Raw genomic sequence first — 15434 nt, 5'->3', positions numbered from 1 at the left:
TTCCCTCCAAATACCCAGATATCAAGAAGAATATTTTGCAATCCTAATATTAATTTTTAAGGGCTACCAATAATTAGTGCGCTATTTTTATAGCTATTAAAAGCACTAAATTCCTGACTTAAAAATATTGTCCAAATTTTTCATTTTTATAATTAGGTTTTGTCCCCTTTTCTAGTGGTGCTGAGGACTTGTCCTACTTGTCTTCCTTAAGACTGCCATAAATGGTTTGGTGAAACTGCTAAAAAAAGAAGAGGGAAGCAGACACCCTGAAATGTAGATTCTGAACCGATGTCAGTAACCAACTTTTTTTTTTTTTTGAGACAGAGTCTCTCTCTGTCACCCAGCCTGGAGTGCAGTAGTGCGATCTTGACTCACTGCTACCTCCATCTCCCAGTTTCAAGTGATTCTCCTACCTTAGCCTCCTGAGTAGCTGGGATTACAGGTGCTCGCCACCATGCCCAATTAATTTTTGCATTTTTAGTAGAGACAGGGTTTCACCACATTGGCCAGGCTGGTCTCGAACTCCTGACCTCAGGCGATCCGCCTGCCTTGGCTTTCCAAAGCCAAAGTGCTGGGATTACAGGCGTGAGCCACCACGCCTGGCCTCAACTTTCTTTTTCCATAAATAACAGGACTAAAGGTAGTGTTTCTTTTTTGATAACATTTTTAAGAGTTTCAGCCGGGCACGGTGCCTCACACCTTTAATCCCAGCACTTTGGGAGGCTGAGGCCAGTGGATCATGAGGTCAGGAGTTTGAGACCAGCCTGCCCAACATGGTGAAACCCCATCTCTACTAAAAATACAAAAATTAGCCAGGCGTGGTGGCGCACACCTGTAATTCTAGCTACTCAGGAGGCTGAGGCAGGAGAATCGCTTGATCCAGGGAGGCAGAGGTTGCAGTGAGCTGAGATTGCCCCACTGCACTCCAGCCTGGGGGACCCAGCAAGACTCCATCTCAGAAAAAACAACAAAACAAAACAAAACAAAAACGAGTTTCAAAGAACTTTCATAGAAGGGGACTTGTTAGGGTTGGCTCTGCAGATGTAGAATCATCATGTGGTGGTGGTAACTCTTATCTACAGGGGATTAATTACTATGTGGTTATTTAAGGCAGTTTTAATTCCATATTTACTTTCTCCTACTATCTACCCAATTGCCAAGAGGCCTTTCTTATCAGATGGTGTGTGATGGATGACCCAGGGAGTGCAAATTAATTTCAATTGGCCAAACCCAACATAAAAATAGTAAATCTGTTCAAATGACCTACCGTATTTTCACTGGGCCAGTTCCCCTTCCTTCACCCCCGACACAAAACATAGCTCATCTTTTCAACAGGAATAGGTAGAAAAATAAGAATAATAAAATAAAATAGACATGGCTTCTCTGTTTCTCCTCTTCTCCCTCACAGCCACCTCCATAGTGAGAGGTTCCTAATGGTTCTGTGTCTGAGTTACACCACCGTGGGCGTGAAGCACCCTCAGCCATTTTGTCTCTGCTTCAAAACTTCCTATAATGCCTGCCTGCCTTTTAAGGCAGGATATATGGTCTGTCTGGCCTCCTTTCTAGCTTTAGATCCCCTTAGGCTGTTGTAGCGTTGTAGTGCCCGCCTCAACTGGCCTAATCCCCACTCTCTGATCCTGTCCTGCCTTTTCCAGAAATTATCTTCTGGTCCCTTGAGTCTCCCCTCCTGTAACATGCATCCTCATCTTTATTCTGCCAGCATTTTTTTTCAATACCACACTCAAATGTTACTCAAGTCAAAGGCTTCCTATGAGAGCAGGGGTTGTGCCTGGCGTTCTACAGCCTTTGGTTCACACCCCCTTTTTTTTTTAGAGGGGGTCTTGCTCTGTTGCCCAGGCTGGAGTGCAGTGGCGCAATCTCGGCTCACTGCAACCTCTGCCTCCCAGGTTCAAGCGATTCTTCTGCCTTAGCCTCCCGAGTAGCTGAGACTAGGTGTGGGCCACCACTAACGGCTAATTTTTTTTTTTTTTTTTGTATTTTTAGTAGAGAAGGGGTTTCACCATATTAGCCACGCTGGTCTCGAACTCCTAACCTCGTGATCTGCCCGCCTCGGCCTCCCAAAGTCCTAGGATTACAAACATGAACCACCGCGCCGGACGCCCGGTCTTTTTTTTTTTTTTTTTTTAAGACATTTCGGTCTCCACGTTGGTCAGGCTGGTCTCGAATGCCCGACCTCAGGTGATCCTCCTGCCTCGGCCTCCCAAAGTGCTGGGATTACAGGTGTGAGCCACCGCGCCCGGCCGGTTCACACCCTTTATTTGTATTTATTTTTTTTTTTTTGAGACAGGGTCTCACTTTGCCGTCCAGTCTCAAGTGCAGTGGCGCCATCTCGACTCACTGCAACCTCGACCTCCTGGGCTCAAGGGATCTTCCTACCTCAGCCTCCCAAGTACCTGGGACCACAGACGCGAGCCACTGCCCGGCTATTTTTTGTATTTTTTTGTAGAGACGGGATTTCGCTATGTTGCCGAGGTTGGTCTCTAACTCCTGGGCTGAACCTATCCTTCCGCCTCAGCCTCCCAAAGTGCTGGGACGACAGGCTTGAACCACCGCGCCCGGCCTGGTTCACACACTTTAATGGCACTTACCACATACTGCTAGGCATTGAGGTTATTTCTGTAACATCTCTTCTTTTCTACTAGATTCTATGAGGGCAGGAACTAGGTCTTATTTTTCTCTGAGGACAAGGACTGTTAGACAAGTGTATGGAGACGCATCTAGACCAACTGCCTGACTTCCTCTTTCCTCTGGGTTTACTTCTCCCTCCAAGAGGAGGGTTGTGTGTGTGAGCGGGGCGACTGGAAAACATAGTGTTCAGGACGTTGTATCTTGTTCCAGGAACTAAGTACACGCCTGGGTAACTAATGTGGAGTACCTCTCCTTCCCCTGTTGCTATCGCCCCTCTGTGGCTGCTTGGCAAGTAGCTCAGTATGAAGAGCTGACGGAATTCTGCGGTGGGCCAGGTGGCTCTGGCGTCGACTGTTTAAGGCGACTGTTAATGACTACAACACACCATTGAGTCTTGGTCCCAAGGCGCTGGTGCACATGGTACTTCCCGAAATCCCTGTAGGGCCGCTGGAGCAGGAGCCCCGATCCCACGTTTGGGCAGCTGACTCGCCTAAGGCCTCCAGCTGAAAGCGGAATTGCAGGGGTGAGAATGAGCAGACCTAACTACCGGGCTTCTCGCACCTGGCCTGCATTTATTTAGGACCACGATAACCTCGAAGGCCAGGCTGGGGTGCCCGATGGGTCGTGGGCTTGCTGCCTAACTCCCTGAGATCGGCGGGCTGAACAGAGCTTCGAAGTGTAGCGCCATCCTGAGCAGAGGAAGGGGCGCCCGAAGGCCGCGTAGCGGGCGGCAGGGCGGGAGGAAGTAGCAGCTGCTGCTCCCCGCCCACCCCTCTCGCGTGTGCCTTTCCGCTCCACTGTTCGCCGGTGAGCTAGGTGGCGCGAGAGCGGAGGGGAGAAAAGACAGCGGCTGCAGGAGCCGAAGGCCGCGGCTCGAGGTGGGGCAGGGGCGGGCACGCGAGCGTGCGTGCGTGGGCGCGGTCTATAGCACGCCGCGCGCGGGGCGGATGTCCGGGCCGGCTGGGCCGGGGCCGCGGAGGAGATGGCGGAAGGTGGAGGCTGCCGTGAGCGACCGGATGCGGAGACTCAGAAGTCCGAGCTTGGACCCTTAATGAGGACCACACTCCAACGCGGGGCGCAGTGGTGAGCTCCCGGCTCGCTCTTCCTCTATGCAGAACCAGGGGCCGAGAAAAAGGGGCCTCCTTTTTCTCGGCTAGAGTAGGGGCTGGGCGGGGATGGTATGTAGTGACCCTGGAAGAGTAGCCTGACACCTGCCCCTCAGGAGAATAACTCCAGGATCAGCTCTGGGAAAGCGCAGGCGGGGCCTGAGTGTCGTCTCAGTTCATTTGGAGCCCTAGGGGGCGGGCCCGGCGGGGGCCAGGAGGAGGGATGTGGAGAAGGGGAAGGTTGGTGGGGACCCTAAGGGTGGGGAGAGCCCTTTACCATGAGGACTCGCCGTGTGACCTTGGGCGAAGGTGTCACAGACCTGGATTCCTCACTGTTAAAACCAGGATAGCAATATTTGGCTCACCGACCTCAGTGGGTTGAGGGGAAAATCAGAAGTAGATACTTTGTAACTTGTAAACTGCCAACAGATGTCAAGGTCAGAAGCTGAACAAATGTCTGAGAACCCCGATTATTTTGGTAGCAAGTGTCAAAAATATTTGCGGCAGCAGTGTCTTGGAGTGGGAGAGGAGGATAGCCTAGGTCCTGGAGCTAGATAGAAGATGAAGGGTCCAGAATTTAGAAGACCCAGGCTGAGTTATTAGGCATCTTAATAGATTGTTTAGTAGAGGGGACAATACTTTGTACTACTGGAGAGATTCCTGGGTGGTGTAATTGTGTAGGAGTAGAAAAACTAAGGCTAGACTTTGCATCGAGTATGATTGTTACCCATCTTGTTTGTTTTGTTTTGTTTTGAGATGGAGTTTCACTCTTGTTGCCCAAGCTGGAGTGCAGTGGCGTGATCTTGGCTCACGGCAACCTCCGCCTCCCGGGTTCAAGCGATTCTCCTGCCTCAGCCTCCCGAGTAGCTGGGATTACAGGCTCACGCCACCACACCCAGCTAATTTTTTGTATTTTTAGTAGAGACCGGGTTTCACCATGTTGGGTAGGCTGGTCTCAAACTCTTGACCTTATGATCCACCCGCCTCGGCCTCCCAAAGTGCTGGGATTACAGGTGGGAGCCACCGTGCTCGGCCCGAGTGTTACCTATCTTTAAGAAATCATTGTGGTGATGATCTGCCGAGGAATTGAGCAGGAGAATAGAAAAATTGGGGTTAGGAGGAGTACAGATAACAGCTTATGTATTCACCTTGAGCTAACCAGTTTGTGAAAGGCAGGGTAAACAGAGGTACTTTTTTTGTGTTTTCTTTTCTTTTCTTTTCTTTTTTTTTTTTTTTTTGAGAAGGAATTTCGCTCTTGTTGCCCATGCTGGAGGGCAATGGCGCGATCTCGGGTCACGGCAACCTCCCCCTCCCATGTTCAAGCGATTCTCCTGCCTCAGCCTCCCCAGTAGCTAGGATTACAGGCATGCGCCACCACGGCCGGCTAATTTTTTTTGTATTTTTAGTAGAGACGGGGTTTCTCCATTTTGGTCAGGCTGGTCTCGAATTCCAGATCTCAGGTGATCGCCCGCTGTGGCCTCCCAAAGTGCTGGGATTACAGGCGGAAGCTACTGCGCCCGGCCTAGCAGAGGTACTTTTTAAGTTAACCTCTATAGGGTTCATAAAGAATACTCAGCAGAAGTAGAGGAAGTTTAAGATAGACTAAAATCATACAGTAAAATTGTATGGAAGGTATTGCTCAAGGGATTTGGAAGAAAAATAGCATTTTAGAGATGGATGTGTTTATGGATCCTTGTGACCTCTGGGAAGCTGCCTGACCTCCTCTCACATTTGTTGGTTATAAAATTTTAAGGATGCACCAATATAATTGTTGATGCTTTGTTGCTCCACAGAGATTGTTTTAATTGTAAAACAGCATAGAGATACTTTTTTTTTTTTTTTTTTTTTTTTTTTTTGAGACGAAGTCTCGCTGCATCACCAGGCTGGAGTGCAGTGGCGCGATCTCGGCTCACTGCAATCTCTGCCTCCCGGGTTCAAGCGATTCTCCTGCTTCAGCCTCCCGAGTAGCTGGGATTATAGGCATGCACCACCATGCCCCGCTAATGTTTGTATTTTTAGTAGAGACAGGGTTTCACCATGTTGGCCAGGATGGTCTCGATCTCCTGACCTCGTGATCCACCTGACTCAGCCTCCCAAAGTGCTGGGATTACAGGCGTGAGCCACCGCTCCCGGCCAGCACAGTGATACTTTAAAAATATAAACAGGTCTGGTGCAGTGGCTCATGCCTGTAATCCCAGCACTTTGGGAAGCTGAGGCAGGAGGATCACTTGAGGCCAGGAGTTCAAGACCAGCCTGGGCAACATAGCAAGAGCTAGCCTCTACAAAATAAAAATAAAAAAATAAATTAGCCAGGCATGGTGGTATGTGCCTATAGTCACAGCTACTCAGAGGCTGAGGCAGGAGGATCACTTGAGCCCAGGAGTTTGAGGCTACAGAGAGCTATGATTGTGCCACTGCACTCTAGCCTGGGTGACCCTCTCTCTAAGGAAATAAATAGGTAAATAAAATACCACATTTGCTTACATTTAAGTAAAAAAGTGGTAAGTTGAATATGAAGCACAAATTAATGCTTTTTGACAAGATGAACAATAGGCACTATTATATGTACATGTGTATGTGTATATTTATATATGTACACGCATGTTATGTACTTTTTTTTTTTTGACAGGGTTTTATTCCTGTCACCCAGGCTAGAGTGCAATGGCATGATCTCAGCTCACTGCAACTTCTGTCTTCCGGGTGCAAGTGATTCTTGTGCCTCAGCCTCCCGAGCAGCTGGGACTACAGGCATGTGCCACCACGCTCAGCTAATTTTTGTAATTTTAGTAGAGATGGGGTTTGTTGCCCAGGCTGGTCTTGAACTCCTGAGCTCAAGTGACCATCCACCTCGGCCTCTCAAAGTGCTGGGATTACAGGTGTGAGCCACTGCGCCTGGCCTTGTGTGTACATTTTTGGAACTCCTTTGGTCCTTAAAGGAAAACTGAAGTGGGTGGTGTTTCTAACCCATTTTCAGAAAGAGCATTAGTTTAGTGCTGTTCATGTCAAGCAAAACAGTGTAACCAAACTGTCTGCCTGGAGTGGGACTTCTGTAAAGATCATTATGAAATTAATGACTTGTGGCCGGGTGCGGTGGCTCACGCCTGTAATCACAGCACTTTGGGAGGCCGAGGTGGGCAGATTACCTGAGGTAGGGAGTTTGAGACTGTCCTGACCAACATGGAGAAACCCTGTCTCTACTAAAAATACAAAATTAGCCAGGTGTGGTGGCACACACCTGTAATCCCAGCTACGGGAGACTGAGGCAGGAGAATCACTTGAACCCGGGAGGCGGAGGTTGCGGAGAGCCGAGATCACACCATTGCACTCCAGCCTGGGTAACAAGAGCGAAACTCTGTCTCAAAAAAAAAAGAAGTTAATGACTTGTTTATTAGCAAACATGATTTTACCCATGAAAAGACTCCATTTAGACTGAGTGTGGTAGCTCATGCATGTAATCACAGCACTTTGGGAGGCCAAGGCAGGAGGATCACCTGAGATCAGGAGTTCGAGACCAGCCTGGCCAACATGGTGAAACTCCATCTCTACTAAAAATACAAAAAAATTAGCTGGGCCTGGTGATGCATGCCTGTAATCCCAGCTACTTGGGAGGCTGAGGCAGGAGAATTGCTTGAACCCAGGAGGTGGAGGTTGTAGTGAGCCAAGATCATACCACTGCACTCCAGCTTGGGCAACAAGAGCGAAAACTCCGTCTCAAAAAAAAAAAAAAAAAAAAAAGAGGCCAGGTGCAGTGGCTCATGCCTGTAATCCCAGCACTTTGGGAGGCCGAAGTAGGCGGATCACCTGAGGTCAGGAGTTTGAGACCAGCCTGCCCAACATGGTGAAACCCCGTCTCTACTAAAAATACAAAAATTAGCTGGGAGTGGTGACAGGTGCCTGTAATCCCAGTTAGTCAGGAGGCTGAGGCAGGAGAATCGCTTGAACCTGGGAGGCAGAGGTTGCAGTGAGCCAAGATTGTGTCACTATACTCCAGCCTGGGCGACAGAACAAGACTCCGTCTAAAAGAAAAAAAAAGAAAGACTGCATTTAAATAAGCATTTTGAAACCACTTGTTTTCTTTCTTTTATTCACTCTTTGAACAATCATTTCACTTAATGGATGCATACCCTGGGCCAGACTCTCTGTGCCATGTGGGGCCTGGGCCCTGCTCTTGCTCTTGTGACAGTGTTTTTTAGTGGGTATTGCATATGCCCCAAGTGGAAGGACCATAAAAAAGATTAAGGAAGCAGCTGCAGAAATTTATAATCTCAGCTTTTCTGCTACAGTAAATTTCTGTCTCTCTCTAGGTATCTTATTGACAGCCGGTGGTTCAAGCAGTGGAAGAAGTATGTGGGCTTTGACAGCTGGGACATGTACAATGTGGGTGAACATAACCTATTTCCTGGCCCAATAGACAACTCTGGGCTATTTTCAGGTATAGTAAATGTTGCTTTTCTAGCTAAACATTCACCTGGGCAGTGGCCTGATGTTATGTGCATCTGTAACATGGACGTTGTGAACTTTCCTAGTGTGAGGAGATAGAAACAAGTATCCTCATTTTGCATCTATAGCAGAAGTCTTTGCAAACCCTTAATGAGAAGTTAAGCTACTTTTTTCCCTTAAATTAACTGCATCTGATAAGAGTATGCTTCTAACATTTTAACTTTCTCTCTTTGCAAATTAGTTCTGCTAGCTATTTCACATTTTAAGTTAGTATATGGAATGGAAAGAAATAGGATGTCATTTTGAAATTGTATCTAAAATTTAAGAACCAGAATTTTTTGTTACCTTTGCAGTGGAACAAATTGTAAACCTGTGAACTTTCATCAAGAATTCCTGTGATGGCTGTTTTTATCATATAACTAGTGTGAGGAGAGGTTGAAGGTCAGTAGACAGAGTTATGACTGTAGTCAGCTCCCAATGGGAACTGTGGGAAAAGCGACATGTAACACACTAGAGCTTGCTTGCACTTGTACATGCACTGAGATGACAGAGTCAGCTTTTCCCAGGCTTTCTTTTGCCTGACTTCAGACCTCTTTAAAGTCATGATAGAGGTGATCTGTCATGGGTGTCAAAAATCAGGGCAGTGCCAGGAGTGGTGTCTCACGCCTGTAATCTCAGCACTTTGGGAGGCCAAGGCAGGTGGATCACCTGAGGTCAGGAGTTCGAGACCAGCCTGGCCAACATGGTGAAACCCCGTCTCTACCATGTTGGCTAGGCTGGCCTTGAGCTCCTGGGCTCAAGCTATCTTCCTGCCTCAGCCTCCTTAGTCACTGAGACTACAGTGTTCTACCACTCTCAGCTGTTTTTTAAGTTTTTTGGTAGAGACGGGGTCTTGCTATGTTGCCCAGGCTGGTTGAACTCCTGGCCTCAAGCCATCCTCCCACCTTGGCTTCCCAGAGTGTTGGTGTGAGCCACTGTGCCTGGCCTAACTTGGATATTTTTAAAACTGAGCAATGCTTCAGCTCAGACCTTGTTTTAGGAGAGGTCTACATGGTATAAACAATATCATTTACTTTGTTTCCTGAAATAGGTCAAATGGTGGCACTATGCCACGAAGTTGCCCTAAGGAATCATTTCATTATGTTCACATTTTGTTCTTTTTCTCATTTTTATGAAATGGAGAATTCTTAAGGTTTTAAATTCAGGCATACTTTGGCTTATTGTGCTTTGCTTTATTATATGTTGCAGATACTGCATTTTTAGCAAATTTTGTAGGTATTTGGCAACGCTGCCTTGACAATCTGTCAGTTCCATTTTTACAACAGCATGTGCTCACTTCATGTCTCTGTTACCACATTTTGGTAATTCTCAAAATACTTCAAAGTTTTTCATTATTATTTGTTATGGTGATCAGTGATCAGGGAGCTTTCTTTTTTTTTTTGAGACGGAGTTTTGCTCTTGTTGCCCAGGCAGGAGTGCAGTGGCATGATCGTGGCTCATGGCAACCTCCACCTCTTGGGTTCAAGTGATTCTCCTGCCTCAGCCTCCCGAGTAGCTAGGATTACAGGCATGTGCCACCACGCCCGGCTAATTTTGTATTTTTAGTAGAGATGGGGTTTCTCCATGTTGGTCAGGCTGGTCTTGAACTCCCGACCTCAGCCTCCCAAAGTGCTGGGATTACAGGCATGAGCCACCATGCCCAGCCAACAGGGATCTTTCATGTTGCTATTGTAATTGTTTTGGGGCATCATGAAGGGAGCCCATGTAAGACAGTGAACTTAATTGGTAATTATTGTGTGTATTCTCGCTGCTTCACCAACCAGCCATTCCATCTCTCTCTCTCTCCTCAGGCTTTGCTATTGCCTGAGACACAATGACACTGAAATTCGGCCACTTAGTAACCCTAACAACGTCTTCTAAATGTTCAAGTGAAAAGGAGAATTGCATGTCTCTCACTTCAAATCAAAGCTAGAAATGATTTGAGTTTGGTTAAGGAAGCCGAAATAGGTTGTAAGCTAGGCCTCTTGTGCCATATAGCTAGCCAAGTTGTGAATGTAAATGTAAACCTCCTGGACTTAAGTGATCCTTCCACCTCAGCCTCCTGAGTAGCTAGGACTACAGGTGCTTGCCAGCATTCCTGGCTCATTTTTGTATGTGTTTATTTTTTCTTTTTGTAGAGATGGAGTTTTGTCATGTTGCCTGGGAGATGGAGGAACCCAGGAAATGGTGGTTTCAGTGAGCTGAGATTGCGCCACTGCACTCCACTCCAGCTTGGGCGACAGAAGTGAGACTCCATCTCAAAAAAAAAAAAAAAAAGTGCTACTCTAGTGAACACATGAATTATAAGAGGCTGAAACAGCCTTATTATTGCTGATATGGAGAAAGTTTATTCATTTATTTTTTTTTTTGAGACAAGGTGCCATCTTGTCTCAAAAAAAAAAAAGGTAGCTACTGCTACCTCGTGCAGTAGCACAATCACACCTCACTACAACCTTGACCTTCCCAGGCTCAGGTGATCCTCCCATCTCAGCCTCCTGAGTAACTGGAACTACAGGCCCCACCACACTCGACTAATTATTGTATTTTTTGCAGAGATTTTTTGTGGGTTTTGTCATGTTGTTCAGGTTGATCTTGAATTCCTGGGCTCAAGCAATCCTCCCGCCTTGACGTCCCAGAGTGCTGGGATTACAGGTGTGAGTCACTGTGCCCAGGCTAAACAACAGGTTTTATTTTATTTTATTTTTATTTATTATTATTATTTTTTTGAGACAGAGTCTCACCATGGGGTTTCACCATGTTGGCCAGGCTGGTCTCAAACTCCTGACCTTAAGTGATCCGCCTGCCTCGGCCTCTCAAAGTGCTGGGATTACAAGCATGAGCTACTGTGCCTGGCCTAAACAACAGATTTTAAATGTAGACAAAACACCCTTCTATTGGGAAGATGCCATCTACCTCTTTGCTGCTAGAGGGGAAAAGTCAGTGCCTGGGTTCAGAGCCTTTTTTTTTTTTGAGACAGGGTCTTGCCCTGTCACCCAGGCTGTAGTGTGTGATCACAGCTCACTGCAGCCTTAACCTCCTGGGCTCAAGTGATCCTCCCACCTCAGCCTCCTGAGTAGCTAGGACTACAGTTGCTTGCCACCATGCCTGGCTGATTTTTATATGTTTGTTTGTTTGTTTGTTTTGTAAGACAGAGTCTCGCTCTGTCGTCTAGGCTGAAGTGCAATGGCACAATCTTGGCTCACTGCAACCTCCACCTCCCAGTTTCAAGTGATTCTCCTGCCTCAGCCTCCCAAGTAGCTGGGATTACAGGTACCTGCCACCACACCCAGCTAATTTTTTTTTGTATTTTTAGTAAAGACGGGATTTCAGCACGTTGGCCAGCCTGGTCTCGAACTCCTGACCTCAGGTGGTCCACCCGCCTTGACCTCCCAAAGTGCTGGAATTACAGGTGTGAGCCACTGTGCCCAGCTTTGTATTTTTTTTTTTTTTTTGTAGAGATGGGATTTTGCCGTGTTGCCCGGGCTGGTCTCCAACTCCTGGGCTCAAGTGATCTGTCTGCCTTGACTTCTCAAAGTGCTGGGATTATAGGCATGAGCCACTCTGTCCGGCCAGATTCAGAGCCTTGAAGGACAGGCTGACTCTCTTCTTAAGGGATACTGCAGATGGTGACTTTAGTTTGAAGCTAGTGCTCATTTATCATTCCAAAAATCCCAAGGCCCTCAAGAATTATGCTAAATCTGCTCTGCCTGTGCCCTACACATGCAACAACAAAGCCTGCATGATAGCATATTTATTTACAGCATGGTATACCGAATATTTTTGTTTTTATTTTATTTTTCTGGGACAGAATCTCGCTGTGTCGCCCAGGCTGGAATGCAGTGGTGCAATCTCGGCTTACTGCAACCTCTGCTTCCCGGGTTCAAGTTATTCTCATGGCTCAGCCTCCCAAGTAGCTGAGATTACAGACATGCACCACCAGTTCTGGCTAATTTTTGTACTTTTAGTAGAGATGGGGTTTTGCTATTTTGGCCAGGCTGGTCTCAAACTCCTGGCCTCAAGTGATCCACCCGCCTTGACCTCCCTAAGTGCTGGGATTACAGGCATGAGCCACCACAACAAGTTTACCGATTTTTTTTTTTTTGAGTCGGAGTTTTGCTCTTTTGCCCAGGCTGGAGTGCAATGGTGCGATCTTGGCTCACCACAACCTCTGCCTCCCAGGTTCAAGCGATTCTCCTGCCTCAGCCTCCTGAGTAGCTGGGATTATAGGCGTGCGCCACCACGCCCAGCTAATTTTGTTTTTTTAGTAGAGACGGGGTTTCTCCTTGTTGGTCAGGCTGGTCTCGAACTCTCGACCTCAGGTAACTGCCCACCACGGCCTCCCCAAGTGCTGGGAGTACAGGTGTGAGCCACCACGCCCGGCCTCCCAATATTTTTTTTTTTTTTGAGACGGAGTCTTGCTCTGTCACCCAGACTGGAGTGCAGTGGCGCGATCTCGGCTCACTGCAAGCTCCGCCTCCCGGGTTCACACGATTCTCCTGCCTCAGCCTCCTGAGTAGCTGGGATCACAGGCGCCTGGTGCCTGCCACCACACCCGGCTACTTTTTTTGTATTTTTAGTAGAGACGGGGTTTCACCATGTTGGCCAGGATGGTCTCAATCTCCTGATCTCGTGATCCACCCATCTCGGCCTCTCAAAGTGCTGGGATTACAGGTGGGAGCCACCGCGCCCGGCCTCCGGCCTCCAGCCTCCAGCCTCCCAATATTTTTAGCTCAGGGTTGAGACCTACTGCTCAGAAAAAGCACTGAGCTAATCTTATCAAAATGTTACTGCTGCCAGGTGCAGTGGCTTACGCCTGTTATCCCAGCACTTTGGGAGGCCAAGGTGGGCGGATCACGAGGTCAGGAGATTGAGACCATCCTGGCTAACATGGTGAAACCCTGTCTCTATTAAAAATACAAAAACAAAATTAACCGGGTGTGGTGGCGGGTGCCTGTAGTCCCAGCTCCTCGGGAGGCTGAGGCGGGAGAATAGCATGAACCCGAGAGGTGGAGCTTGCAGTGAGCCGAGATGGCGCCACTGCACTCCAGCCTGGGGGACACAGCGAGACTGTCTCAAAAAAAAAAAAGTTACTGCTCCATTGCAATGTACCTAGTTACCCAAGAGCTCTGATGGAGATGCATGAGGAGATTAATGTTGTTTCATGCCTACTAAAAACATCCGTTCTGCAGCCTGTGAGTCAAGAAGTAATTTCAACTTTTTTTGTTTGTTTGTTTGTTTGTTTGTTTGTTTTGAGACAGAGTCTCACTCTGTTGCCCAGGCTGGAGTGCAGTGGCTCAGTCTTGGCTCCCTGCAACCTCTCCCTCCCAGGTTCAAGCAATTCTCCTGCCTCCTCCTACCAGGTTCAAGTAATTCTCCTGCCTCAGCCTCCTGAGTAGCTGGGATACAGGTGCCCGTCCCTCCACCTGGCTAATTTTTGTATTTTTAGTAGAGACCAGGTTTCACCATGTTGGCCAGGCTGGTCTCAAACTTCTGACCTCAAGTGATCCTCCCGCCTCAGCCTGCCGAAGTGCTGGGATTACAGGCCTGAGCCAGCGTGCCTGATTTGATTTCAACTTTCAAGTCTTATTATTTAAGAAATACATTTTATAAGACTTTATCTGCCATAGATAGTGATTCTCCTGAAGGATCTGGGCAAATTAAATTGAAAACCTTTTGGAAAGGATTTACCATTCTAGATGCCATTAAGAATATTCATGATTCCACCTGGTGCAGTGGCTTATACCTATAATCCCAGGACTTTGGCAGGCTGAAGTAGGTGGATCCTTTGAACCCAGGAATTGGAGACTAGGGTGGGCAACTTGGCAAAACCCCATCCCTATAAAAAATACGAAAATTAGCTAGGCCTGGTGGCATGCACCTGTAGTTCTAGCTACTTGGGAGACTAAGGCAGGAGGATTGCTTGAGTCTGGGAGGTCGAAGCTGCAGTGAGCTGTAATCATGCCACTGCACTTCAGCCTGGGTGATAGAGTAAGGCCTGCCACTCCCACCTGCCCACACACACACACAAAAATATTCATGATTCATGGGAGGTCAAAATCAACATTAATAGGAGTCTGGAAGAAGTTCATTCCAACACTTACGGATGACTTCAACGGGCTCAAGACATCAGTGGGAGAAGTAACAGCAAAAGTGGAAATAGCAAGAGAACTAGAATTAGAAGTGAAGCCTGAAGATGTGACTGAATTGCTTTATTTTTTATTTTTACTTTTATTTTTATTTTTTTTGAGATGGAGTTTCGCTGTGTCACCCAGGCTGGAGTGCAGTGGCGCAATCTTGGCTCACTGCAACCTCCGCCTCCTGGGTTCAAACAATTCTCCTGCCTCAGCCTCCCAAGTAGCTGGGCTACAGGTGTGCACCACCATGCCCAGCTAATTTTTGTGTTTGTAGTAGAGACGGGGTTTCACTACCCTGGCCAGGCTGGTCTTGAACTCCTGACCTCATGATCTGCCCACCTCGGCCTCCGAAAGTGCTGGGATTACAGGTGTGAGCCACTGCGCCTGGCCTATTTTTAATTTTAATTTTTATTTATTTTTATTTCTTTTGAGACAGAGTCTTGCTCTGTCACCCAGGCTGGAGTACAGTGGGGTATCTCGGCTCACTGCAGTCTCCACCTCCTGGGTTCAAGCAATTCTTATGCCTCAGCCTCCCGAGTAGCTGGGACTACAGGCATGCATCACCATGCCCAGCTAATTTTTGTATTTTTACTAGAAATGGGGTTTCACCATGTTGGCCAGGCTGATCTTGAATTCCTGACCTCAAGTGATCTGCCTGCCTCAGCCTCCCAAAGTGCTGGAATTACAGGCATGAGCCAACATGCCCGGCCTGAATTGCTTTAATCTTATGATAAAACTTGAATGGCTGAGGAGTTGCTTCTTATGGGTGAGCAAAGAAAATGGTTTCTTGAGATGGAATCTATGTCTGGTGAAGATGTTATGAGCATTGTTGAAATGACAACAAAGGAACCCTGCCCTGAAAAAGGTGTGTAAACTAGTCGGAGGGATGGTGGGAAACCATAACCACCTCATGTATGATTTATTTATTTTTGAGATGGAGTCTTGCTCTTTCACCAGGCTGGAGTGCAGTGGCGTGATCTTGGCTTACTGCAACCTCTGCCTCCCGGGTTCAAGCAATTCTCCTGCCTCAGCCTCCCGAGTAGCTGGGACTACAGGTGCCCGCTAC

General features: G+C 47.6%; 1 protein-coding gene across 3 annotated transcripts in view, besides 4 other annotated features; it reads left to right on the top strand.

The window, feature by feature from the left end:
• Positions 2933-3432: an enhancer, noted in NCBI's record as "H3K27ac-H3K4me1 hESC enhancer chr3:49377657-49378156 (GRCh37/hg19 assembly coordinates)". NCBI's record gives its function as "activates a minimal SCP1, AML or CMV promoter by ChIP-STARR-seq in naive H9 embryonic stem cells {active_cell/tissue: H9 hESC(naive)}" and the evidence as "EXISTENCE:reporter gene assay evidence [ECO:0000049][PMID:30033119]".
• Positions 2983-3042: an enhancer, noted in NCBI's record as "active region_19862". NCBI's record gives its function as "activates an Ori minimal core promoter by ATAC-STARR-seq in GM12878 lymphoblastoid cells {active_cell/tissue: GM12878}" and the evidence as "EXISTENCE:reporter gene assay evidence [ECO:0000049][PMID:35858748]".
• Positions 3133-3302: an enhancer, noted in NCBI's record as "active region_19861". NCBI's record gives its function as "activates an Ori minimal core promoter by ATAC-STARR-seq in GM12878 lymphoblastoid cells {active_cell/tissue: GM12878}" and the evidence as "EXISTENCE:reporter gene assay evidence [ECO:0000049][PMID:35858748]".
• Positions 3473-3662: a silencer, noted in NCBI's record as "silent region_14361". NCBI's record gives its function as "represses an Ori minimal core promoter by ATAC-STARR-seq in GM12878 lymphoblastoid cells {active_cell/tissue: GM12878}" and the evidence as "EXISTENCE:reporter gene assay evidence [ECO:0000049][PMID:35858748]".
• Positions 3603-15434, top strand: part of USP4 (ubiquitin specific peptidase 4) — a 62910-nt gene continuing 51078 nt past the window's right edge. For all 3 annotated transcript variants that reach the window (NM_199443.3, NM_003363.4, NM_001251877.2), the window contains exons 1-2: positions 3603-3732; positions 8060-8187. In NM_199443.3, coding sequence (NP_955475.1) covers positions 3632-3732; positions 8060-8187 — 229 coding nt within the window. In that variant the 5' untranslated portion in view covers positions 3603-3631. The remainder of the gene's footprint in view (positions 3733-8059; positions 8188-15434) is intronic.

Source organism: Homo sapiens, chromosome 3 (assembly GCF_000001405.40).
Source record: "Homo sapiens chromosome 3, GRCh38.p14 Primary Assembly".
Lineage (NCBI taxonomy): Eukaryota > Metazoa > Chordata > Mammalia > Primates > Hominidae > Homo > Homo sapiens.
The sequence above is the reverse complement of the archived record's forward strand: the minus strand, read 5'-3'. Positions and strand labels throughout refer to the sequence as shown.